Source organism: Homo sapiens, chromosome 5, assembly GCF_000001405.40.
Source record: "Homo sapiens chromosome 5, GRCh38.p14 Primary Assembly".
Taxonomy (NCBI): domain Eukaryota; kingdom Metazoa; phylum Chordata; class Mammalia; order Primates; family Hominidae; genus Homo; species Homo sapiens.
The window spans coordinates 112,372,759-112,400,134 of NC_000005.10; the positions used below are offsets into that span (position 1 = coordinate 112,372,759).

At 39.8% G+C, this 27,376-nt stretch overlaps 1 protein-coding gene across 15 annotated transcripts in view, besides 2 other annotated features; it reads right to left on the reverse strand.

The window, feature by feature from the left end:
- EPB41L4A (erythrocyte membrane protein band 4.1 like 4A) overlaps positions 1 to 27,376 on the reverse strand; it is a 278,107-nt gene that overhangs the window by 230,930 nt on the left and 19,801 nt on the right. The gene's annotated exons all lie outside the window — the stretch shown is intronic.
- Positions 14,064 to 14,565: an enhancer, noted in NCBI's record as "H3K4me1 hESC enhancer chr5:111722519-111723020 (GRCh37/hg19 assembly coordinates)". NCBI's record gives its function as "activates a minimal SCP1, AML or CMV promoter by ChIP-STARR-seq in naive H9 embryonic stem cells {active_cell/tissue: H9 hESC(naive)}" and the evidence as "EXISTENCE:reporter gene assay evidence [ECO:0000049][PMID:30033119]".
- Positions 14,566 to 15,065: an enhancer, noted in NCBI's record as "H3K4me1 hESC enhancer chr5:111723021-111723520 (GRCh37/hg19 assembly coordinates)". NCBI's record gives its function as "activates a minimal SCP1, AML or CMV promoter by ChIP-STARR-seq in naive H9 embryonic stem cells {active_cell/tissue: H9 hESC(naive)}" and the evidence as "EXISTENCE:reporter gene assay evidence [ECO:0000049][PMID:30033119]".

Genomic DNA, 27,376 nt, shown 5'->3' on the forward strand with positions numbered 1-27,376 from the left:
ACCTGACTCACTATGGTTACTATACAGAGAAATGAACTGTAATGGTCAAGGAAATAGAGGAAACAGATAGGAGATTGTTACAGCAATTCAGGCAAGAGATGATGGTGCCTGACTAAAGGGTGGAAGCAGAGATAGAGAGGGGTAGACAGATATTTTGAAAGTAAAAGTGACAGGGTTCAGCAGCTCTCAATTACTTAACCCTTAAAATACGTGACATATGACACTAATAGTTCCATATATTCTTTTTAAGAGCAATCGCTATTTAGCAACCAGGAATAACTCTGTCTATTCTTAAAAATGTATTCAGATATAAACTCAGGGCCCAGGAATACAGATCCCCACACTGCAGACTGAGCAGGAACTCCTGCTCTATCCACCTGCTCAATAAAGGAAGGCAAGTGAGGATGCTCCCATTTCTAATCTCCTGGCTGTGGCTCTGCTGGCCTGGGGCAAGCCTTATGAAGGTCACCAACAGTGAGGGATGGGACAAGACCCCAGAAGGGTTAAGAGCTGACAGAACCGGAAGTTGCTACAATGTTCCCTTCAGGCCAGTCCCCTGTCAACATGGTTCTTCTTTTCTCCTCAGACTCCATGAACCAATCTATCTGCTTCCCTTCCCACTGCCAGCACTAGCTCCTCTGGTATGGTTTCCTCTCTCCCTATAGCCCAACCTGAAATTCAACTCATTTTCACATAAATGACAAAGGTACAGAAACCAGCAACCACCTATATCTTATTTCCATTAAAGCAAAAATAGCTAATTTATCAAACACTTGTTATGTGTCATGTGTTATTTTAGAGCTTTCAATGTATTAACTCATTTCATGCTCATAAAAATCCTATCCCCATTTTACGAAGAGGAAACTGAGATACAAAGAAGTTACTAAACTTGCCCAGCCAGCAAGTGGCAGAGCCAGGGTTAGAACCCAGGAAGTCTGGCTGCAGTCCCCACTTTTGAGCTACACTGCCACTAGAGTCCAGCTTCAAAGTCAGGTGCTTCAGGGAGACAGTGAAACAACTGCAGTCAACATCAGAAAGGTCCAAGACTCAATTTAAAGATAGTATCTAACACATATTTTAATGGAGAAATGTTCAAGTATATATTTTTATGGTTTCCACAGTGCTGAAATTACACAAGTTTGTTTTCACCAAGTTTTGGAATACTTCCAGAAAATCAGATTAATATATGAAGAAGAGAAAACATTCATTTTTCATGAATACGTGGTAAAAGAGAGCAACTCATGTATACACTTGTCAGTTCTGTCAGAATGTAACCCTGCAGGGTAGGAAGCACCCATCTTCTGTGAGAACTTCCCACAAAGAGAATTATTAGTGTGGAATGAGTGCTCAGTTTAGAAATAAATAGCATTCTTCAAATGTCAGAGGCATCCCCATGGAATAACTCAGGTCCCCAACAAGACTATTAAGCTGATATTACAAACCGTAGCCATGAAGAAAGGAGTTCATCTATGCTGACAGTGATTGGGAGTGGAAACAAAAAGGCTGAGAATGTTCTCATTACCCAACAGTTTCCTGGATTAATCTTCTAAGAATGAACAGAAGTTTAGAATTCAGAGCCATGGGATCACCCAAAGCTGTAGATCAAAAAGAAGAGCAAAAAGCAGCATTATAAGAAATATCTATAGTCAGGGGAATAAATACGTTGACAGTTAAAGATGATGAAAAGAAGTTAAAGTCTTCTAAATAAAAATGATTCGCACTATAAAACACTCTGGCCCAATCACCTAGGTTACATAACAATAAGAGTTATAAATATTACTCAGCAATATTTTGCCTTCCAGGTCTTCATGGTGCATCTTAATACAGTTCCAAAGTTACCCCAGCAAAAGAACTCTGTGAACGCACACTCCTAGTGCTGGAGCTCACCACAAACGTGTGCTTTCTCAAGAATCATACCTGGTTTGGGTTTTATTTTCCTTCTTTAAAAGTGCATGCAAATTTTACATTCTATTCTATAAAAGATCGGTTTTGATTTTTGCCTGGGGAAGGGGTCAGAAGGTAATTTAAAACATTATTTTTCTCAGGCAAGACTGTCACTACTAAAAGAGGGGCCAAGTCTATCCTGTGGCCTTTCACATTTCCCCACCATCACCTAGAATGGATGTAGAAAACTCTGAGTTTGACAGCAAACTTCTACGTTTTTTAAAAACCACAAGGTGATGTTCAACATTCAGGTTCTCTTTGTCTGCAGAGCAGCAGCTCTGAACTCCAGCTACACGTAACAATCACCTGGAAGGCTTTTTATGAATACCAGTGCCTAATCTCCACCCCAGATCAGCAGGATCAGAATCTCCTAGTGCAGGAAGAAACCATTCTGTTTTGTCGTTGCTACTTTTAGCTCCACTGGGTGACTTTAAAGGACAGAGTTGAGACTTACTTGCTCAGAGGATCCAAAAGAAACACTACGGTCCCAGAGTGAGCCCAGAGTGGTGCAGGAACACCAGAGTCAACCCCTGGGGATGATCACGTTGTCCCTTCCTAAACCTAACTATCTTGAAGACACTGACCCACAGACCATAACAAGGTCAGTCTCTCTCTCTCTCGCACACACACACATACACACACACACACACACACCCCTTCCTCTATTTAAAAAAAAAAGCTACCTAAAACAGAAAGTTTACATGAGATCCAGAGTCTCAAACACAATGCAAAAAATGTTCTGGTTTCAATGAAAAAAATCACACCAAGAACCAGGAAAATCCATACTGAATGAGAAAAGGCAACAGATTCCAACACCAAGATGGCAGAGATGTTAGAATTATCTGATAAAGCTTTTAATGCAGCCATGATAAAAAATTCATAAAACAAAAATTCTTCAATGATCAGTCATAAACATGCTAAATGAACTAAGAGAAATGCCATTATGCTCCTCAGGCCCTTGAGGTAGTTGCACTGCTGGCCCAGCCAGGACTGTGTAGGTCTGGGCTGGTGAAGGTTGGGAAGTTTGTTTTGGTGGTGGGAGCTCATGGACCCTAATTACACTGTACATTGCAATGACGATGATCTGCTGGTAGATGTTCACTGTAATTTGCCTTTGGATTGATGGATCTAAACTGACTTCACGAATTAGAGTGGTCATGAGCCAAAGACAAGAATCCTTAGAGAGGAGCAACATCCCTGGGGAGTGAATGACTGACAATGTCTGTGCCTCCAAGGGGTTAGGGTATGAAAAAGAGGCAAGATAACTGTCCCCAGGGGTTGGCTTTAATAATACCGAAAGCATAAATAAAAACAAAAACCAATACACTGGATTTCATAAAACTTAATAACTGCTGCTAAGCAAAAACCCTAGGAAGAGGATTAAAAAGACAAGCTACTCAGAGAAAGTTTTCAAACTACATATCCAAAGAGAGGACTAACATCTAGAATATGTAAAGAACTCGCAAAACTCAACAGCAGAAAAATAATACATTTAGAACATCAGCAAAACACATAAGAGGATATATGACACTTCACCAAAGAGGATACAGATGGCAATTAAGCACATAAAAAGATGTTCCACATAATTAGCCATTAGGGAAATGAAATTAAAACCACAATGAAATATCACTATATATCTAACAGGATGGCTAAAAATTTTTTTAAATAGTGACGCCACCAAATTCTGCCAAGGACACAAAGAAATTGGGTAACTCATACATTGCTGGTGGGACCGTAAAATGGTATCGCCACTTTGGAAAACAGTTTGGCGGTTTCTTAAGAAATTAAACACACAACTGCCATATAACCCAGCTTTTGCTCTCTTTGGTATTTAGCTCAGAGAAATGAAATTTTATTTTTAAACATAAAACCTGTACATGAGTGATCACAGCAGCTTTATTCATAAAGTCAAAATGATAAACAACCCACACATCCTTCAGCAGGTGCATGGTTAAGTGTTAGTACATCCATACCATGGAACATTACTCATCAATAAAAAAGGAACAAACTGTTGACACGTGCTACAAACCCTGGAACTGCTGACACATGGAACCAACCGTGGAACTATGATAAGTTAAAAAGCAACCCAAAAGGTATGATTCCATTGATATGACATTCTTGAAATAAAATTATAGAAACAGAGAATAGATTCTTGGTTGCCAGAGTTTAAGAGGTGAAAGAGGCAAGGAAGAGAGTACGTCTATAAAAGTGCAACACGTGGCTGGGTGCGGTGGCTCATTCCTCTAATCCCAGCACTTTGGGAGGCTGAAGCAGGAGGATCACTTGAACCCAGGAGTTGAAGACCAACCTAGGCAACACAGGGAGACCCCGTCTCTATAAAACATAAAAAAAATTAGCCAGGCACTGTGTCACACACCTGTGGTCCCAGCTCCTCAGGAGGCTGAGATGAGAAGATCACTCAAGCCGTGGGGGTCAAGGCTGCAATGAATCATGATCATGCCACTGTACTTCAGCCTGGGTGACAGAGCAAGATACTGTTGTCTGTTTGTTTGAAAAAAAAAAAAAAAAGACAATATGTGGAATCTTTGAGATAATGGAAATGCTCTGTACCTTGAATATATCGATTATCAATATCCTACTTGTGATAGTAAATACAGTTTTGTAAGAAGTTACCATTGAGGGAAACTGGGCAAAGGGACACAGGATCTCTCTGTATGGTTTCTTAAAATGGCATGTGAATTATCTCAAAATAGAAAGTTTAATTTAAAAGAAATGAAAGGTTACTGGCCCACTGAACCCTGACTGCAGCAAACAGCAAGTACTTGGAAGTGACCTTTAAGTGTGCTCCAGATTTTCATTTACTGGCCATTTTCAGCTCTACCATTTCATCCATGATTCATGAGGCCCAGCAACTCAACCAATTTTATTCAATAAAAAGGGGGCATCCTGTAGTTTTGCCAAGACCAATTATTCCCATGGCGACCCTCAACATAATATTAACTATCAAACCTAGAAAACACCACAGCCTGGAGTGGACCACTTTCTCTGCTGCTACTCTCTTTGTTCTCTTGCACCTCTTCAGAGAAAGGTGCTAAAATAACTCAAACCCCTCTCTTCCCAGTACCATTACCTTTCCAGAGCTGCCTTCCAGAAACTAACTTAATCTTCACACAAATTGGGAAGAGAAAAAAAAAATCACACTGCTAACCCCCCATCTTTTACATTACAACAAACCCAGTTCTCAGGGGGAACAAAAAAGGATACTACTCTACAGCATATCTAGGACAAGAAGAATCCACCTGTGACTTAATTCATATTTGGACAACTCTGAATGCATAAACACCAGGTCCAAAAACAAAATAAGATGCAACCTTGGTTTTCTACCTACAAAGTACAGTCCTTAAAACAGATATAAGGATTCATGTTTCCATCTGCACGGAGAAATTTATTTCAACATAAAAAGATGAAAATCTATCCTAAATTGAAAGCTCTCCAGAGATGGAAAATTCACAATCTATCCTGATACTCCTGGTATTTCCCAGCCTCTGTCAGGCCACACTACCATCTGCATCCTATCTTGGTAAAAATTATGTCTGTTCCTCTCATGATTGTAGGAATTGGTCTATATAGCTTGCAAAATTTTAGTCACTCCTAAGAATGCAAGTTACCTAGAGCAGAGAGTAGTTTCTCTAGCCCTGTAATCTACCCTTTAATTTATAAATCTTTTCTATCCGTCAGAATTCAGGAGTTCCATAGTTGATATAATCTTAAAAAGCAAAAAATTCAGGATGATCAGGATATAAATTATATCTTAACAATACAGATTAACAGCCATAAGAAATATAGAGAAAGTTTCCCAGACATTGTTTCCTCGATAAATTAACAACAAAATTTGTAACACAGAGAAGACATCACACAATCATTTAACTCATGCAAATTAAGGTAGATCCACTGGGGTGGAGGGCTGTGGAGAAGACAGGGAAACTCCAGAAGTCATCCTTATTCCCTCAGTTTCCCTGATGCTTTCCTGAAATGCACTTAGAAACACTGAGTCTTCTTCTAGTTCAAGTACATTTTTTGTGCATGTCCTCTAAAACAAACTTCTTCACTGGATGCTCAACTGAACATACAGTCGTTATTCCAGGAAGGAGGAAACATGGGCTGTTTGAATGGCTGGTAGGGTGGCCTCCATAGTGGAACCTTTCTAAATGGCTTAAGTCTAGTTCTAACCCACACTATTTTTGTATCAAGGGCTGAATTTGGAAGCCATTCCACTGTGATGTGTTCTCCAGCAGTCCATGTCCACTCTCCTGTGAATTAGTTATATGCAGGTGTCTATGAGCGTGCAGGGGTGTACAGATGTGCACATACACAAACACCTTTACAAAGGTGGTGGAACACACTGAGCTAATATCAAATCAGTGCATTCTCTCAGTGGATACTCATTCCAAGAGGCGAGCACCCTGGGGGGGTCAAGCTAGCCCACTGGCTTTCAGTGGGCATCAATGAAGGCAGAAAAGCATATACATGTCCCCCCATTTAGAATTTTTGCTTAAAATTAATAACTGCAAGTTTTTTAAACGCTTCCTTTTATGTACTAAACCTATAAAACAATTAGAAGTCCCCAAAATTTTCCCCACATAGGCTGAACATCTAAAATCCCTTCATTACAAAATAAAGTCTTGTATCCCACAACAAAGCCTGAGTATAACATCAAAATACTTTTGAAAATAAGAGTAGAGGTCTAAAATCATCCTTCCTAAGGGCAGATTTTGATGAAACAAGAGGTAAGGAACACAAAGGCCAGCCTGAACATTGAAGAAATGACAGGGAAGAGGAGAAAGGTTATTAGCAGGAGACCAAGTCTGTGACAGCACTCTGATCATCCTGGAGTTTGGCCATAAGGGAGAAAACACTAAAATGCTTACATGCCTAATCCCTCCTGCTTTCTCATCTGCAAAAGGAAGATGAGATCTCACCAACAGCAAACTGCATAAGAAGACGACCAACACTTAACATAAAACCTCAGCCATTCTGAGAAGTCCTGGCCAGCATTTACCAAACTCAGACTTTGATCTAAGGCTTACCCGAAGGCACAATACATTCCCTAGCAGTAACAGAGAGTTGTCAAGACAACTGCTTAATGGAACATGTCCAAATCTAGAATCAAGCACTTTTTGCCAAAATATGATTAGTTATATGTAATCCTATAAGACATAAGAAAGACACTATGAGCCACCTTTTGCTCAAAGCACTGACCTACTCAAATTTAAGACGACTATTTTAAGGAAATTAAAAGCCATACAATTTCTCTATTTTATTATCTGAGGTAGGAACTCAAAACTTAAGAGTCAAAATGGAATCTAATTTTCTGAGCAGATTAATCATTGTTACCCAAAGGAGAAGTGCTAGGTCATCAGATGTCTCCCTGCTCTTGGAGAGCTTAGCCCTACTCCCAGAGAACAGCTGCAGGAGTGAGGGACCACACAGGAGCAGTCAGAGGGTCAGAAGGTCTGACACCAAATGAAGAAACTCGTGCTACCAAATCCTGAGAAAAACTAGTCAGATTTAGAAGGAACTGAAAACAAGGATCAGAGAGAAAAGCATACAAAGGTATCAACCTATTTATAAATAACGTTTCCTCTCCCCCTGCTTGTTCAATAAAACTATTTTATTAAAATGTTTTTCATTAAAACAAAATAGTACTTAGTTGTAACTTTATTCTGTTAAATATTCTACAGAATTAACATTCTACAGAATATATGTTATATATTCTACAAAATGATAAAATAACTCTAAAGATAGATAGGAATTGACCATAGATGCTACTTTTTCTCATCCATAATGCTACTGCTTAAAAATCCTTTAACCAAGAGATAAATTTGTGGGAAAATACTTGAATTTACCAGTTACAGGGGAAGATTTAGTTCTTCAAGTCCCTAGAGAATAACTTCAAAAACAGAAAAACTAAGTTTTTAATGTATACTCTTCCAAGCTTTCAAGAACAGTTAAGTCTCTGATTATATATTACAAAGCACAGGGGAAAAAAATGAAATGTCCCCAATTATATGATGCTGTTATAACTTCAGTACCAAAAAGAGAAACCCATCCTCTGCACATCACACACATACACACACACACACACACACACACACACACACACACAATTCAGCCAAGGGGAAAGGAGAGCAGCACATATCTCAGTCACCCAGAAGCCACTGATATTTAGAAACCATCCCCCACCAGACCATTCTTACATTCCTTCTGGTTGCAGGCCAGTATATGTCAACAATCCCTCACAAATCCCTTACCCAAAACTCATGGGGCCAGATGTGTTCCAATTCAAAAATTTTTAATTTCAGAAAGGCACCTTCTGGGGATATCCAATATATTTCACATACCATCAGAGAGCGTGAGGCGGCTATGATATTCTGCCGTAAAAATGCATGAACAGTTACACTAAATGTGATCAAGACTATAATACTGCTTCACAACAGAGCCAGGTAGTTTCCTCAGATATACTCAAGTCTGGTCAGGTTTTTAAATCAAATGAGATATTAAAAAATTCAAATCAGAACTTTTGGATTGCAGAATTGTAAGGAATTATTAACCTGTGATAGATCACTCTGTAAATAATAATGATAATTGCTTATAATTCATTGACTGCCTAGTATGAGAGATTATATGTTTGGCATACGTTATCTTTAACCCTTTCTACCACTCTCTAAGGTTTTATAAATGAGGCTTAGAAAGGTTAAGTGACTCACCCAAGGCCAGTTACTGAAAGCAGCAGGATTTGAACCAAGATCTGTTTATATTCCATCCAGTGTGCAATTCTAACAGGTTCTTGATTGCAAGCTACAGAAAGCATGTCTAGCAAACATAAGCAAATAAACAATTTTCTGGAAGCATATTAATATCTCACAGAATGGATGGGAAATCTAGAAAACCAAGCTCACAAAGTGAGCCAAATCCAAACAAGGCTGAGTTGCAGAAGCAACGACAAAGGTCAAGTCCTGAAGCTGGGATGCTGCCTTGACACTGCCAACAGCAGGACACACGTCATCATGGCCACTGGGCTCCCACAACCAGACACAGTTGAGAAAACTTTCTGAACTCTCCCCTGTCTTCGTAAGAATCAAAGTCCCACAGCCTTCCATAATGTGAAAATGACAGTATGTCCCACCAATTCCACACTGAGGAGGGGGCTCCTCCCAAAGTGAAGGAGGATCAGAAGACTGGGTAACCTCCCCCTTTCAGGTGACAAATATCTACTGCAGCCACTCTAATTCTAAAAATGTCTGCAAATCACAGTCAATGGCATGTAATAAAGTAGGATTTCTTCCAGGAATGGAAGTATTTTTTCATTTTAAGAAATTTATAATACGGCAGTGCACATCAGTTAGTCAAATTTTTATTTAAAAACTCAATTAGCACTTTTAAAAGGTACGTGATATAACTTAACATCCATTCTGGCTTTTAAAATTCTTGATAAATTAGGAAGAGAAAGCTCTTTCCTTTAATCTATTTTTTAACCACAATCTAAACATATTTTAAAGAGCAATATTTCAATTAGTCACCACCATTTCTTCACATCATTCGAAAGTTCTAACCTAAGTTCAGGCTCAAGAAAAAAAAAAGTTCTAACCAATAATGGTTAGAAAAGAAAGGAAGCAAGTGTCAGAAACTAGGAGCAAACCTGCTGTTATTTGACAGATGATATGACTATACCTGCAATGACGACAAAGACTGCAGCCCAGAGTGGAGGCTCACATCCATCCTTGGGAATGGCCAATGGTAAATCCTGCATGTGTGAGTCAAGCACCTGGCTACTCTTGGGGAAATTCTGACCCAGTAGAAAAATTCAAACGTAGCTATTCAAACTGTGGTGTTAACTGTTTCATCAGTAAAAATATAGCAGGAATATCTCTTCCAGGATAATTATGACACCTTCTGATTGTTTTGGTCTTTGGAGGATTCAGCAAGGAGACAGAAGAGAGCACTGTCACTTGATGTGGGAGGGTTGGGGGAACAGTCCCAGTAACAGGACTGCAGAAGGGGAATTAGGGAGCAGCTAAAAGATACAGTATATAGGTAGCAGGTGTGTCTGATACCCAGTTGTGGAATTTTCCTTCCTGGCTTCTAACTCTTTCCACATTCCTAGTTACTCTCCAACCTCTTACTGGGCAATCACTGCATCTATTATTTGTTATGTTTTCCTCAAACCTGAGAAATAAATCTGGTTACATGTAGCCCAGACTTGAATTGGAACTGTGTGGAAAAGGAAAAATGCTTCGGAGCAAACAAGTTGTAAGAAGCCAGCAATGACCCTTTGAGAAGCTAGAAAGGAAAGACCAAGGCAAGAGGTAATAAATGCCAATCAAGACAAGTCAAGGCTCTCCCCAGAGGATCCTCAGAAGTGCATGTGAAGGGTTAGATGAATACTCTCCAGTCATACAGGACGTGTATTCCATTTAATGTAACTTAGGCATTTAAAGAAACAATGGCTCCCAAAGGCTGGGGAACTTGGAATAGTCAAGAAATCTCAAAGGAGTCAACTAAAGATTAAGTGGAGCCAATAATGAAGTTTAGCAAAATAGAGAAATACAAGATAAACTGTTTTCTTTAGCTTTCTTATAAACTAGCAATAAACTGTTTTAAAAGAATGAAATAAAAATAGCATTTAAAACGTAACCAAAAAATGTGACATTGCAGGATAACCTTAAAAAGATATAAGATTTCAATGACAAAAGACCGTAAAACTGTACTGAAAGAAAAATTTGAACAAATGGAGAGGCAGAGCATGTTGTTGGATGCAAAAGCTAAATCTGGAGTTCTTTCAAAATGAAATGACAGGTTTAACACAATCAGATTGAAATCCCATTGGCAATTTTTATAATGGCAAAAATTAAGTCTTAATTTAAAGAAAAAGGACACAAGGGAACTACTAATAAATTAAAGAGCAATACAAACAAGTGATCAGGATGGGTGCTGGCCAAATCAAAGAATAAAAGCTTTTATAAATTAATTGTATTCAGACAACTTTTGGTACACTAACAGACAAATCAATAAAATGGGGGTGGGGGAAAAGCTGAAATAAATCCAATATATAAGACCTTAAAATTTAAACAAACAAATGGTAAATGAAAAAACAGTCAACAAACTATATTGGGACAAAAAGTTATCTGTCAATAAATAAACAATTTCCATTTGTATATCTCAAGATAAATTCTAGATAGGTTAAAAGTTAAGTGTAAAAAAATAAAGTTAGCCATAAAAATGAAGTACTGATACCTATTATATTAAAAACTCTGAAAATATTACGCTAAGTAAAAGAGCTCAATCACAAAAGACAACATATTATATGATTCCATTTATATGAAGTGCCCAGAAAATGCAAATCTAGAGAGACAGGAAGTAGGTTAGGAGTCGCTGGTGGGGAGGATGGGGGTGATAGCTAAAGGATACAAGGTTTCTTTTCAAGGTGATAAAACAAGTTATAAATTGACTGTGGTGATGGCTGCTCAACTCCATGAATATACCAAAAAACACTAAACTGTACACCTTCAGTGGGTAGACTGATATGTGAACTCCATCTCGATAAAACTGTCAACAAAAGATGATAATATAGATGACTATTCTGAAAAGGAAGGGATTTTAACTTAAAAACATTAAGAATCCATTAAAAATCATAGATTTAACTACATTAAAATTAGAACTACTTTAACCTGAGTCCAAAGGCAAAAAGTATATAACATTCGCAATTAACAAGGCAGACCAAAGGCTAACTTCACTATTTTTTTTTTAATGCAAAGATGACTCTGTTGCAACCAATCATCAGTAAAATCTCCACTCAGAGCCTGAGAACTTTCTGCCGCAGCCAAACACATATTTTTCCTTCTCATGGAAACAGATGGGAGCAGAAGGTATGTACTACCCGGGAAGATAGTTTAGACATGGGCATATTCAAACTAAAGAAGATGAGTACCTGTCAAAATCATGCTTGAAGCTTCTTTTGAGGAAGAAAGGAAGGAAGGAAGGAAGGGAGAGGGAGGGAGGGAAAGAGAAACAAAAAGAGAAAGAGAAACAAGGAAAGAGAAACGGAAGGAAGGAAGGAAGGAGAAGAAAAAAAGGAAGGAAGTTAAAAGAAAAGAAAAGAAATAATGGAATCACAATGGAATTTTGCCTCTGTTTTAGAGACATAATTTTTTTCCTAGGCCTCAATATCTGCTGGGAAAGATAATGCAAAGAGAGCTGAGCAGCCCCATCCATTTGCTAGGGTTGCCAGTCCTGATCACTGCACAAGCAATTCAGGCTCAGAGGCCCATGGCCCCACTTCAGGAAGACACTGGAAGTAGCCCGGGTGACCCTTGGATATGGTTTCAGCTTTATCTTTTTTAAGGAGCAGGCGAAGCCCTTGCCAGCAGAAGCCTCCTGCCACCAGAGCCTGCTAAGTACTCCCTCCTCAGCCTACAGCCTGACAATGTGACCCCGATCCTGACCAAAAGGACCAGAGGGAAAGCAAGTCCAACGGGGAAGTGGTGCTTCCAGGAAAAATGCTCCCCTCTGATAAAAAGATGCATAGCTGTATCAATTGGGGACCCGGAAAGAAACACATAGATTCAACTTGGGAAGTTTGGAAAAAGTCCAATAAAAGGCATAAAAAAGTATGGGCATAGTATGGAAAACCATTACAGAGAGGGCAGAATCCCAGAGCTGGTAACAAGTTTTTAATCAACACTAGGCAACCATTTTTAAAAAGGCCAAGAAAATCACAGAAAAGCCAATCCAGAGTCCTACGTTGTTAAGCCTCTGAACTGCCAGCCTTCATACTGGTTATTTTCAAAAAAAAAAAAAAAAAAAAGTAAATCCCATTACCTAAAGCCAAAAGCACAATCAATTAAAAAATCCTTTAACCAGTCTGTCTTGTAATCCACTAAAATTATCTCCTTATTGAAATTAGAAGAATTGTAGTTCAAGTCAGAAGAGATAGCCTCAAATCTGGAACATGTTAAGAGAGACTCCAATAGACCAAAGGACACAAAACTCAAATGGAAACCGAAAATTGGTCATATCCAACCTCCCCAATATATTTTTTTACATGCGTATTTGTACCTCTCAAATATTCAAATACATAGCACTAGAGATAATAAGGTTTCAGTCTCACAAGCTCCTAGTGGGTGTTCAAATCGGTAGGATGTTTCTGGAAATAATGTGGGCAACATGCACTGAATTACTTGAAACTAGGACATTACTCCTTTCTTCCTCTAAGGTTTACTGTTTCAGAAATAGTTGTGAGCTCATTGTTAGCCAAATAATTAAATTTTTAATATGGTTTAATTAGTCCATTCAACTACTCTTATTTCTAACTACTTTAAAAATTAAGCCCTAGCATTCTATCTTTTTAAAGGCATAATGGAATGAAGTGATGCACTGCATCCTTTCAGCCTGTTAGTCACATCTTTAATAAGCACAGCTGTTTGTACTGAGACATAACGAAGGCATTATCACCCACTGAGGGGCATCATATGCTGAATCCTGGAAATGTACAGTGAAGAAATAATCAGCCTCTGAAGTGCTAACCTTGTAAACCCAGCCTACAAAATGGCTCAAACCTTACATAAAATACCCTTACAGCAAATTACTCCTGTCTAATGCTAAATCATTTCCAATGGGACATCAAACCTTCATTAATAAATTTTCATTGGCTTAAAAATTAATAATGTTGATTTCCATATATTTTAAAAGGTTTCATATTTATAGTAATTATTTTAAGAAAGAAAAAAATAATTCTAATTTCCTCTACATGGCCCAATACTTATTAAAAAGGATGCTCGGGGAATGAGGTTTTCTGGGTAACAGAATATTTCAGTTTGTTTTAATTCAAAATATTATTGGATGTAACCGTCAGGCTCTGATCTGCAAAAGATGTAAGATATTGGAATGAGCACTAACTTCAGGACAGACTATAGAAGAAAGTTTTAAATGAATCGATTGTATCAACTTTCTTTTTAATCCCATATTTAGGATAATAAATACAGGACACAGCTCAAAATTTAGGTTACAGATTCAGTCATTTTGACTGGATATTAGAGTAAAGAAAGATACTATATACATGACACTGGAAGACTGAATAGATGGAAAGGCACAACGGGAATAGAAAGTGATTCTCCAGCAATAAAGGCAAAAGCTATCCAGTGAAGAGGAAAACAGACCAGATGGTGATGGTCGATCCTTTCCCTTCTGCTATCCATCCCCACTCCCACCGACCTCACCACTGACAGTGTTCCTATCTGTGGGTCCCTGCTTTAGCTGAGTTGCTGCCTTCAGCTTTGTCAGCAAGTGCTGCCACCTTTGGATACTGATTTAAGGCCTCTATTGCTTCAAAGTGAAGCTCTCTGAATCTGGGGGCCTGCACACTCCCCGGCCTCTCCAGTCAGATGGAGCCTAAGAATTCTGCTCAAAACAATTCCCAGAGGGCTACTGGTGACAGCGCCAGTTCCATCGTGGCCAGATCCAGCTTCAGCCAGGATGTAAGGCAGATGCACGAACTCCTCATGTCTGAGAGACCACGTCCAATAGAGCTGCCCTCCCGGACCCTGTGCAAACCACCATTCCAGCTTCCCATCAATTTAAGTATCTATAAGGTAAAGAACTGCCACTGAAGAACTGCATGGAATGGGTTGGGCACGGTGGCTCACGCCTGAAATCCCAGCACTTTGGGAGGCCGAGGCGGGCAGATCACAGGGTCAGGAGATCGACACCATCCCGGCTAACACAGTAAAACCCTGTCTCTACTAAAAATACAAAAAAAAATTAGCCAGGCATGGTGGCAGGGGCCTGTAGTCCCAGCTACTTGGGAGGCTGAGGCAGGAGAATGGCGTCAACCTGGGAGGCGGAGCTTGCAGTGAGCCGAAATCATGCCACTGCACTCCAGCCTGGGAGACAGAAAGATTTTCATATCAGGCAGCAATAATTTAAAGTAACTGTATTAAATAATTTCCAAATTTTCCTTTGAGCTGCAAAGTAATATTTACAGCTATCACAAGACCTCCAAAGTGCAGAGTTGGGAAGTTTCTACATTTTCAAATATACATTATCTGTAAAAGAGATTGTATATAAAACAGGTTTGTTAATTGTCCATTTTATTAAAATGCTAAGGCACTAGTATACAATCATATTAAAGAGAAAAAAGCCTTACATTTATGCAGAAGTCATAACATACACTTTCTATCTTCCTCACTTAAAAAGAAATGTAAAAGTTACCCACCAAGTTTTTAATAACAATAAAAGAAAAAGGAAGTAAAGTATCTCAATTTTCTATCACTGTAGGAGGACTGACAGAAATTTTAAGGCACCAAACCCCAAAAGTTCCTCTCTAGGGGCCATGGCACAGAGAAGACTTAGAAATTCAAGTTGTTTCAGCAGAAATTCACAGATCATTAAATTAATTCAAAACCCAACAAGGCGGCAAACTAACAATTTACCCTTACAGTATCTGGTTACAGCCAGCAATTTTTCACAAAAATACGCTTATCTCCTCCCTTCCCATCATTTAAAAGGGCAAGCAGTTAAGGTCACAGTTTAAAAGTGCAATGCAAAGCTGATGCCAGCCAGAGTCAGCCTTAAATATACAGAGCTTTAAAGGAAGTGCGGTGAGGCAAGAGAGAAGGAATCTGGAAACAGATCGGCAGACCTACCCACCTGGCCCAGGTCACTTGGCTCTCAGGCTCCTCTATGTATCTGACTCAGCTAATGGAGGTTTTTAACTTTATCCAAACTCAGACCCCACCCAGATCACCTTCAATTAGAATTTATAGTTGGTCACTTTCATAGCTCCCACAGGTGACTGTAATGTGCATTCAGGGGTCAGAACCACTGAATTGAAGAGACCGAGAGAGAATGGGAGAGTCAGGATTATGGATAGACAGCCTGTGTATGAAAAACCTCAAATGCGAAGGCTGCCTTGACACAAGACACTGCTCTGTGCCCCAACTTTGCAGTGGACAGCTATCTCAAAGATCTGGTCCAGGCTTCCCATCCACCTGCTCAACTATTACATGCAGGGATAGCTCAGGGGCTCTTTTTTCTCCCCGCACTCTACCTCTATCATTATTTGGTTTGCAGAACAAACTGTCTTTCCTTTTCAAAATGGAAACTTGGTTGGATAACTGGTCTCTGAGCCAGCCAGGCAGGAGACAGCCTCCACACTAACAAGGGAGTTTCCAAGCCCATTAACTCTCCCCTTTAGCCCCCTGCTATGAGCTCCCAGAGGTAAATACACACTTAAGAGTAAATTATTGGTTTACAGGCCTCTAAAGCAGTTGGTTCTTAAATTAATTTAATGAGCTGTGAACTTATGCTAAAGTAATTTCTGATCCCAGGAGAGGAATTGTTGGACGTGGAAAAAAAAAATTCTATGGCTTAGCAGAAGATTCGGAGAACAACAACAGGAGAAAAAACAAACACATGATCATTTAAAAAGCAAATCTCTAATATTTTCAAACACAAGAAAATTATTTCATTCAAAATTTTTACTCCCCTGTATTAGATCTGTATTGGCATTTTAAATATTTTTTAATGTATTAAGGATTTTATAATCCTGACACTGTACTAATAAGCATTTAATATTGTTAAATAAAAATCATAGGAGGCCACTGTTTTGGACTAAGCTCCTACACTAGGCCCCAACAGACCAGACTGAAAAATCAAAACAGACTCATCCATGCTAAAGTTCCAGGTCACCAAACAAAACAGAGTTGTTATCTGACCTTTTCAGAAATCAGGAGAGACAGAAAACGGCCAATTTCTCAAATAGGCCAGTTTCAATCTTACACTGGCATAATAACGAAGTTCCTCTGTTTTAATCCTTAACCCAAAGTAACCTGATGTTAACCAGTTATTTTTTCTATTATACTATCTCTCTGTCCCACTTTACAAGGAAAGTAACTTTGAAATGATCAACATTTTTGTTGTTTCTGCCTTCTTTAGCTTTTTTTCCCGTCTATAAAGGCAACTTCCTCTGCCCCACTCATTGGAACACTTACTCTACTTATGGAAGGGTTGCCCAATTCCAGAATTGCAAATAAAGCTAATTGAGACCTTTAAACTAAATTTGTTATAATTTCATCTTTTGACAATGTAATATACGTTATCTCACTTGATCCTCACAACAATGCTAGAATTAGGAGATGTTACCACCACCTCTTTACAAAAGAGGAGCCTGAAGGAAACTCGGAGGCTACACAACCAGGGCAGTTTCACACAATAAGGAGGGATGGCATGAAGGTATAAAGGCGGTTCTACCAATGCCAAACTTCCAAAAACTAAGCTCTAGTAAATAAATTCTGCATGTCTCAATGCCTACACAATATGAAAAATGTTAGAAAACCATTTCACACTTTAGGAAAAAGAAGTAAGATGGCTGAATAGGAAGAGCTCTGGTCTGCAGCTCCCAGCGTGATCGACACAGAAGACGGGTGACTTCTGCATTTCCAACTGAGGTACCTGGTTCATCTATTTGGGACTGGTTGGACAGTGGGTGCAGCCCACAGAGGGTGAGCCAAAGCAGGGCGGGGCATCGCCTCACCTGGGAAGCACAAGGGGTCAGGGGATTTCCCTTTCCTAGCCAAGGGAAGCCGTGACAGACTGTACCTGGAAAATGAGGACACTGCCACCCAAATACTGTGCTTTTCCAACAGTCTTAGCAAACAGAACACCAGGAGATTACATCCCGCACCTGGCTCAGTGGGTCTCACACCCACGGAGCCTTGCTCACTGCCAGCACAGCAGTCCGAGATCGAGCTGTGAGCTGACAGCCTGGGTGGGGGAGTGGCATCTGCCACTGCTAAAGCTTGAGTAGGTAAATAAAGCGGCCCAGAAACTCAAACTGGGTGGAGCTCACTGCAGCTCAACGAGGCCAGCGTGACTCTGTAGACTCCACCTCTGGGGGCACGGCATAGCTGAACAAAAGGCAGCAGTAACTTCTGCAGATTTAAACATACCTGTCTGACAGCTCTGAAGAGAGCAGTGGTTCTCCCAGCACAGTGTTTGAGCTCTGAGAACGGACAGACTGCCTCCTCAAGTGGATCCCTGACCCCCATGTAGCCTAACTGGGAGACACCTCCCAGTAGGGGCCAACTGACACCTCATACAGCTGGGTGCCCCTCTGAGACAAAGCTTCCAGAGGAAAGATCAAGCAGCAATATTTGCTGTTCTGCAATATTTGCTGTTCTGCAGCCTCTGCTGGTGATACCCAGGCAAACAGGGTCTGTAGTGGACCTCCAGCAAACTCCAACAGACCTGCAGCTGAGGGACCTGACTGTTAGAAGGAAAAGTAACAAACAGAAAGGAATAGCATCAACATCAACAAAAAGGACATCCACACCAAAGCCCCAGCTGTAGGTCACCATCATCAAAGACCAAAGGTAGATAAAACCACAAAGATGGGGAGAAACCAGAGTAAAAAAGCTGAAAATTCTAAAAACTAGAGCGCCTCTTCTCCTCCAAAGGACTGCAGCTCCTCGCCAGCAACAGAACTAAGCTGGACAGAGAATGACTTTGATGAGTTGACAGAAGTAGGCTTCAGAAGGCTGGTAATAACAAACTTCTCCAAGCTAAAGGAGAAGTTCCTTGCAAACCCATCGCAAGGAAGCTAAAAACTTTGAAAAAAGATGAGATGAATGGCTAACAAGAATAAATAGTGCAGAGAAGACCTTAAATGACCTGATGGAGCTGAAAAGGCCATGGCACAAGAACTACATGACGCATGTACAAGCTTCAGTAGCCAATTCGATCAAGTGGAAGAAAGGGTATCAATGATGGAAGATCAAATTAATGAAATGAAACAAGAACAGAAGTGTAGAGAAAAAAGAGTAAAAAGAAACGAACAAAGCCTCCAAGAAATATGGGACTATGTGAAAAGACCAAATCTACGTCTGATTGGTATACCTGAAAGCGATGGGGAGAATGGAACCAAGGGGGAAAACACTCTTCAGGATATTATCCAGGAGAACTTTCCCAACCTAGCAAGGCAGGTCAACATTCAAATTCAGGAAATACAGAGAACACCATAGATACTCCTCAAGAAGAGCAACCCCAAGACACATAATTGTCAGATTCACCAAGGTTGAAATGAAGGAAAAAATGTTAAGGGCAGTCAGAGAGAAAGGTCGGGTTACCCACAAAGGCCCATCAGACTAACAGCAGATCTCTCGGCAGAAACTCCACAAGCGAGAAGAGAGTGGGGGCCAGTATTCAACATTCTTAAAGAAAAGAATTTTCAACCCAGAATTTCATATACAGCCAAACTAAACTTCATAAGTGATAGAGAAATAAATCGTTTACAGACAAGCAAATGCTGAGAGATTTTGTCAGCACCAGTCCTGGCTTACAAGAGCTCCTGAAGGAAGCACTAAACATGGAAAGGAACAACTGGTACCAGCCACTGCAAAAACATGCCAAACTGTAAAGACCACTGATGCTAGGAAGAAACTGCATCGACTAATGGGAAAACTAACCAGCTAACATCATAATGACAGAATCAAATTCACACATAACAATATTAACCTTAAATGTAAATGAGCAAAATGCCCCAATTAAAAGACACAGACAGGCAAATTGGATAAAGAGTCAAGACCCATCAGTGTGCTGTATTCAGGAGACACATCTCACATGCAGAGACACACATAGGCTCAAAATAAAGGGATGGAGGAAGATCTACCAAGCAAATGGAAAGCAAAAAAAAAAAAAAAAAAAAAAAGCAGGGGTTGCAATCCTAGTCTCTAATAAAACAGACTTTAAACCAACAAAGATCAAAAGAAACACAGAAGGCCATTACATAATGGTAAAGGGATCAATTCAACAAGAAGAGCTAACTATCCTAAATATATATGCACTCAATACAGGAGCACCCAGATTCATAAAGCAAGTCCTTAGAGACCTATAAAGAGACTTAGACTCTCACACAATAATAATGGGAGACTTTAACACCCCACTGTCAATATTAGACAGATCAATGAGACAGAAGGTTAAAAAGGATATCCAAGAATTGAACTCACCTCTGCACCAAGTGGACCTAATAGACATCTACAGAACTCTCCACCCCAAATCAACAGAATATAGTTTCTTCTCAGCACCACATCACACTTATTCCAAAATTGACGACATAATTGGAAGTAAAGCACTCCTCAGCAAATGTAAAAGTACAGAAATCACAACAAACTGTCTCTCAGACAGCAGTGCAATCAAATTAGTATTCAGGACTAAGAAACTCACTCAAAACTGCTCAACTACATGGAAACTGAACAACCTGCTCCTGAATCACTACTGGGTAAATAACAAAATGAAGGCAGAAATAAAGATGTTCCTTGAAACCAATGAGAACAAAGACACAACGTACCACAATCTCTGGGACACATTTAAAGCAGTGTGTAGAGGCAATGTTATAGCACTAAATGCCCACAAGAGAAAGCAGGAAAGATCTAAAATCGACACCCTAACATCACAATTAAAAGAACTAGAGAAGCAAGAGCAAACACATTCAAAAGCTAGCAGAAAGCAAGAAATAACTAAGATCAGAGCAGAACTGAAGGAGATAGAGACACAAAAAAACCATCAAAAAATTAATGAATCCAGGAGCTGGTTTTTTGAAAAGATCAACAAAATTGATAGACCGCTAGCAAGACTAATAAAGAAGAAAAGAGAGAAGAATCAAACAGACGCGATAAAAAATGATAAAGGGGATACCACCACCGATCCCATAGAAATACAAACTACCATCAAAGAATACTATAGACACCTCTACGCAAATAAACTAGAAAATCTAGAAGAAATGAATAAATCCCTGGACACATACACCTTCCCAAGATGAAACCAGGAAGAAGTTGAATCCCTGAATAGACCAATAACAGGCTCTGAAATTGAAGCAATAATTAATAACCTATCAACCAAAAGAGTCCAGAACCAAACGGATTCACAGGTGAATTTTACCAGAGGTACAAGGAGGAGCTGGTACCATTCCTTCTGAAACTATTCCAATCAATAGAAAAAGAGGGATTCCTCCCTAACTCATTTTATGAGGCCAGCATCATCCTGATACCAAAGCCTGGCAGAGACACAACAAAAAAAGAGAATTTTAGACCAATATCCCTGATGAACATCGATGCAAAAATCCTCAATGAAATACTGGCAAACTGAATCCAGCAGCACATCAAAAGGCTTATCCACCAAGATCAAGTTGGCTTCATTCCTGGATGCAAGGCTGGTTCAACATACGCAAATCAATAAATGTAATCCATCACATAAACAAAACCAAAGACAAAAATCACATGATTATCTCAACAGATGCAGAAAAGGCCTTTGACAAAATTCAACAGCCCTTCATGCCAAAAACTCTCAATAAACTAGGTATTGATAGGATGTAACTCAAAATAATAAGAGCTATTTATGACAAACCCACAGCCAATATCATACTGAATGGGCAAAAACTGGAAGCATTCCCTTTGAAAACTGCCACAAGACAGGGATGCCCTCTCTCACCACTCCTATTCAACATAGTGTTGAAAGTTCTGGCCAGTGCAATCAGGCAGGAGAGAGAAATAAAAGGTATTCAATCAGGAAAAGAGGAAGTCAAATTGTGCCAGTTTGCAGATGACATGATTGTATATTTAGAAAACACCATAATCTCGGCCCAAAATCTCCTCAAGCTGACAAGCAACTTCAGCAAAGTCTCAGGATACAAAATCAATGTGCAAAAATCAAAACCATTCCTATACACCAATAACAAACAAACAGAGAGCCAAATCATGAGTGCACTCCCATTCACAATTGCTTCAAAGAGAATAAAATACCTAGGAATCCAACTTGCAAGGGATGTGAAGGACCTCTTCAAGGAGAACTACAAACCACTGCTCAATGAAATAAAAGAGGACACAAACAAATGGAAGAACATTCCATGCTCATGGATAGGAAGAATCAATATTGTGAAAATGGCCATACTGTCCAAGGTAATTTGTAGATTCAATGCCATCCCCATCAAGCTACCAATGACTTTCTTCACAGAATTGGAAAAAACTACTTTAAAGTTCATATGGAACCAAAAAAGAGCCCACATTGCCAAGACAATCCTAAGCCAAAAGAACAAAGCTGGAGGCATCATGCTAGCTACCTGACTTCAAACTATACTACAAGGCTACAGTAACCAAAACAGCATGGTGCTGGTACCAAAACAGAGATATAGACCAATGGAACAGAACAGAGCCCTCAGAAATAACACCACACATCGACAACCATCTGATCTTTGACAAACCTGACAAAAACAAGAAATGGGGAAAGGATTCCCTATTTAATAAATGGTGCTGGGAAAACTGGCTAGCCATATGTAGAAAGTTGAAACTGGATCCCTTCCTTACACCTTATACAAAAATTAATTCAAGATGGGTTAAAGACTTAAATGTTAGCCCTAAAACCATACGAACCCTAGAAGAAAACCTAGGCAATACCATTCAGGACATAGGCATGGGCAAGGATTTCATGTCTAAAACACCAAAAGCAATGGCAACAAAAGCCAAAATTGACAAATGGGATCTAATGAAACTAAAGAGCTTCTGCACAGCAAAAGAAACTACCATCAGAGTGAACAGGCAACCTACAGAATGGGAGAAAATTTTTGCAATCTACTCATCTGACAAAGGACTAATATCCAGAATCTACAAAGAACTTAAAACAAATTTAGAAGAAAAAACAAACAACCCCATCAACAAGTGGGCGAAGGATATGAACAGACGCTTCTCAAAAGAAGACATTTATGCAGCCAACAGACACATGAAAAAATGCTCATCATCACTGGTCATCGGAGAAATGCAAATCAAAACCACAATGAGATACCATCTCATGCCAGTTAGAATGGCGATCATTAAAAAGTCAGGAAACAACAGGTGCTGGAGAGGATGTGGAGAAATAGGAACACTTTTACACTGTTGGTGGGGAATGTAAACTAGTTCAACCATTGTGGAAGACTGTGGCAATTCCTCAAGGAATCTAGAACTAGAAATACCATTTGACCCAGTGATCCCATTACTGGGTATATACCCAAAGATTATAAATCATGCTACTATGAAGACTTATGCACACTTATGTTTATTGTGGCACTATTCACAATAGCAAAGACTTGGAACCAACCCAAATGTCCATCAATGATAGACTGGATTAAGAAAATGTGGCACATTATACACCATGCAATACTATGCAGCCATAAAAAAGGATGATGAGTTCATGTCCTTTGTAGGGACATAAATGAAGCTGGAAACCATCATTCTGAGCAAAATGTCACAAGGACAGAAAACCAAACACCACATGTTCTCACTCATAGGTGGGAACTGAACAATGAGAACACTTGGACACAGGGCAGGGAACATCACCCACTGGGGCCTGTCGTGGGGTTGGGGGAAGGGGGAGGGATAGCATTAGGAGAGATACCTAATGTAAATGACGAGTTAATGGGTGCGGCAAACCAACATGGCACATGTATACATATGTAACAAACCTGCACGTTGTGCACATGTACCCAAGAACTTAAAGTATAATTAAAAAAAATTAAAAAAAAGAAAAAGAAAACCATTTCACTTTTATACAAAGGCTTTATCCATATTGCTTCAATATGCAGTTTCTTCCAGATACATACTCAGTTTTAGACTATGTCATATTGAGTTTTTACTTCAGTTTTAAATGAATTCACACATCTATCAGACACTGGAGGACAACTACATGGCACTACTGCTGTATAACAAATTACCCCAAAACGTAATGGTTTAAAACAACAAACATCTATCTCACACAGCATCCAAGAGTCAGAACTCCAGGAGTATCTACATCAAGCTGAGTGGTTCTGGCCCATGGTCTCTTGCGACGTTATGGTCAGAGTATCAGCCAGGGCTGCAGTCCATTGAAGGGTCAAATTCCAAAGTAGTCCAGGTACCTGGCTATTGGCAAGAACTCTCAGTTCCTCACCACACAGGCCTCACCACAGGTCAGCTGGCTTTCCACTTAGCAAGGTGATGAGAGAGAGAGAGAAACAGACAGACAGAGACAGACAGAGACACCACCGTGCCTTGTATAATCTAGTCTCCAAAGCAATGAGTCCAGCCTATACTCAAGGGCAGGTGAATTAGCTTTTACCTTCTGAAAGGAGAAGTATCAAGAAATGTATGGGTATACTTTTAAGCTGCAATGACCAACATGGTGCAAGTAATATGATTTTTCTTTTCTTTGTAAAATATTATTTTATTTTAAATTCAGTAGGTACATGTGCATGTTTGATTCATGGGTATATTGCATACCCATGGGAACTGGGCTTCTAGTCTGCCCATTATCCAAATACTGAACATTATACCCAATAGGTAATTTATCAGGCCTCACCCCCTTTCTACGCTTCCCTCTTTTGGAGTCCCCAGTGTCTGTTATTTCCATCTTTATGACTATATGTACCCATTGTTTAGCTCCCACTTATAAGTGAGAAAATGAAGTATTTGGTTTTCTGTTTCTGAGTTAGTTCACTTAAGATAATGACCTCCAGCTGATTTTTCATAAGAATTCCCAAGGAAATAACTTTGAGAGTTTCTCTGAAAAGTAAAAATACTAATTTTATAAAGAATTCATAGACTTGATCTAAGAACAGAAACAATGATTTTTACCATAGCAAAATAGCCTTCATATTATACATGTATTACGTCTTAAAAATGTACACAGTATCTACTAAGCACCAAACTGTGCATTCTTAGTGCTGTGTTTGATGCTGTGCAGAATATCAAGTGCATGTAAAGTGAGTGGCAGATGCAATATGAATATGAATTTAGAGAAGAGACCACTACTATAATAAAGTAGTAATTCTGAAAAAAAATTTACAAAAAATGAACATAACCCATACACATGAAAAAATACTCAACCTCAACAGTAATCAAAAAATATAAATAAAACTTTACATTTTCTTTGTCAATTTGACCAGGATATTTTATATGCTAATATTCTACACTCATGGAAATCTAGGATTATAAAATAAAATAGCAATTAGAGTACATTCTCAGTTAATCTTCATAAAAGCCCTATATGATTATTATTCCCCATTTTTTATATGAAGAAATGAAGAGAGTCAGGGACTAAGTAAATCCTCAATCACACGGCTAGTAAGTGGCAGGTCAAGGATTTGACCGCAGTTTTCCTAGCTCAAAAAGCTAACCATTAACCATTATTCTGTAGTGCAGCCTGCCTAGAAAACATGTGGCCCCACATATCAAAAGCTTTAAAAATCTCCATGCATTTAGATCCAGAAATCTCCCTTCTATGGTACTCAGGCTGGAGACAATTGTAAGCTAAGCCACTAAGCTAAGAAATGCACACAGCATGTTCATACAATGATGCATAAAACAAGCTGGCGAAAGCACAGCATGTAGACAGGAAGAGGATCACACAGCTTTCGAGATGGAAGGTAGTCTTAGAAATTACTTAGTCCAACCCATTCAATGTGTAACAATAATCATTCAATATATTAAAAAAAAATCTTTTTCCAATGTCAGAAAACACAAGGGAAATTTTTTCTTTTTTAGGATTTTCCTTTCTTTTCTCTAGGCCTACCAAATCTCTATCCTGGCAGTTAGTAAGAGTGAAGCGCTATCAGCCTCCATAATAAACAGCCCCATAATAAATGCTTCTTTAGAATGTGGGGTTTTTTTTGTTTGTTTCTTTGTCTTTGAGACAGTCTCACTCTGTCGTCCAGGCTGGAGTGCAGTGGCACCATCTCATCTCACTGCAACCTCTGCCTCCCGGGTTCAAGTGATTCTCATGCCTCAGCCTTCCGAGTAGCTGGGACTACAGGCATGCACCACCACACCCGCTAATTTTTTGTATTTTTAGTAGAGACGGTGTTTTGTCTTGTTGCCCAGGCTGGTCTCAAACTCCTGAGCTCAAGTGATCCTCCTGCCTCGGCCTCCCAAAGTGCTGGGATTACAGGCTTCTGAACCACCATGCCCAGCCTAGAAGGTGGGTTTTCTTTCTTTCACCTGAGGTCCTCCCAGCCTGTCTTTGCTATAGACTCAGGTATCAGATCAGCTAGCCCCTGTGAGTATTAACAAAATAAGACTGCCAATCTTATTCGAGTTCATAGGCTCTGAGTGAAATGTATATGGGCTTCAAGGTGACACGTCCAGGGCCTTAAAGACCTTTCTTTCACTGCCAGGATGTTTTCTGGAAGAAGCTAAGGGGAGTCTATCCTAGAAAAAAAAAAAAAAAAGTATGACATTAACATCTTAATTAGAGCCAGAGAAATGAGAAGTTAGCCCCATGTTAAAAAGAGGTATTCATCCAGTAAATGTACACTGTGAGACCAACGTGCGGAGCGGTGAATCCATCACCCTCGCCAAAATCAAACCATCTAAACCACCCACTTTCCACCAATATTCCTCTCAATACACCCTCCCCTGCTATGATCATCACATATCACCAGCTCTTTCCTTTCTCCTCCTTATACCCCAGCCACACTGGGTTCTTTCTGTTTCTGCCTCAGGACCTTTGCTCAGGTTGCTCCCTCTGCCTTGAACTTCTGCCTCCTGTCACCCCCATTCAGCCCAAACATCCCATTCTCAGGAAGGCTCCCCTCCCATTCAATCAGATTCCCCTGTTGTATACTCTCATGTCACCACAACCATATCCTCCCAGACCTGTGTAATCACCATCCAGGTTCCCCACTAAGTTGTAAGCTCCATACTGGGAGGCAGTGTGTCAGCCGGCTTCATGGCTGCATCCAGGGCCCAGCCCACTGCCTGGCACCTGGAAGGTTCTCGAAATATATCTGTTTAAAGAATGACTATCCAAAACATCCTCACTATCTTTTTTTCTCTACTCCACTTCCATGCTGAATTCTAGCTCTCATCACCACACATAACACTTTCTCAGACTCCAGATTCCCTCCCTAAAGCTCTAATCCAGCCTGCAGGTGGTAACTGCCAGCTTAATTTCCTTAAATACCACCAGGGTTCTTCTCTGCTTTGACCTATCACACATCACGTCTTAAATCCCCTTAATGGCTTCAGGCCCTTCACCTACCTAGTAACACCAACTGTATGCAAGCTGATACTCCTCTTTGCCTCTGGGCTCAGCCAGCAGCCCACTGACCTAGGAGCTCCAGTGGGCATCCCTTCACCCCCTTTGACTAATCCTTCAAAGTCAAATTCAAGACACTTCTCCATGGGCCCATCATGTCTCCCACTGGTTCAATATCACACTACCAGCCCTAGATTACATTTATGTGTTAGGCCGTTCTTGCATTGCTATAAAGAAATACCTGAGACTGGGTGTATTAGTCCATTTTCGCACTGCTATAAAGAAGCACTTGAGACTGGGTAACTTATGAAAGAAAGAGGTTTAATTAACTCACAGTTGCACATGGCTGGGGAGACCTCAGGAAACTTATGATCATGGC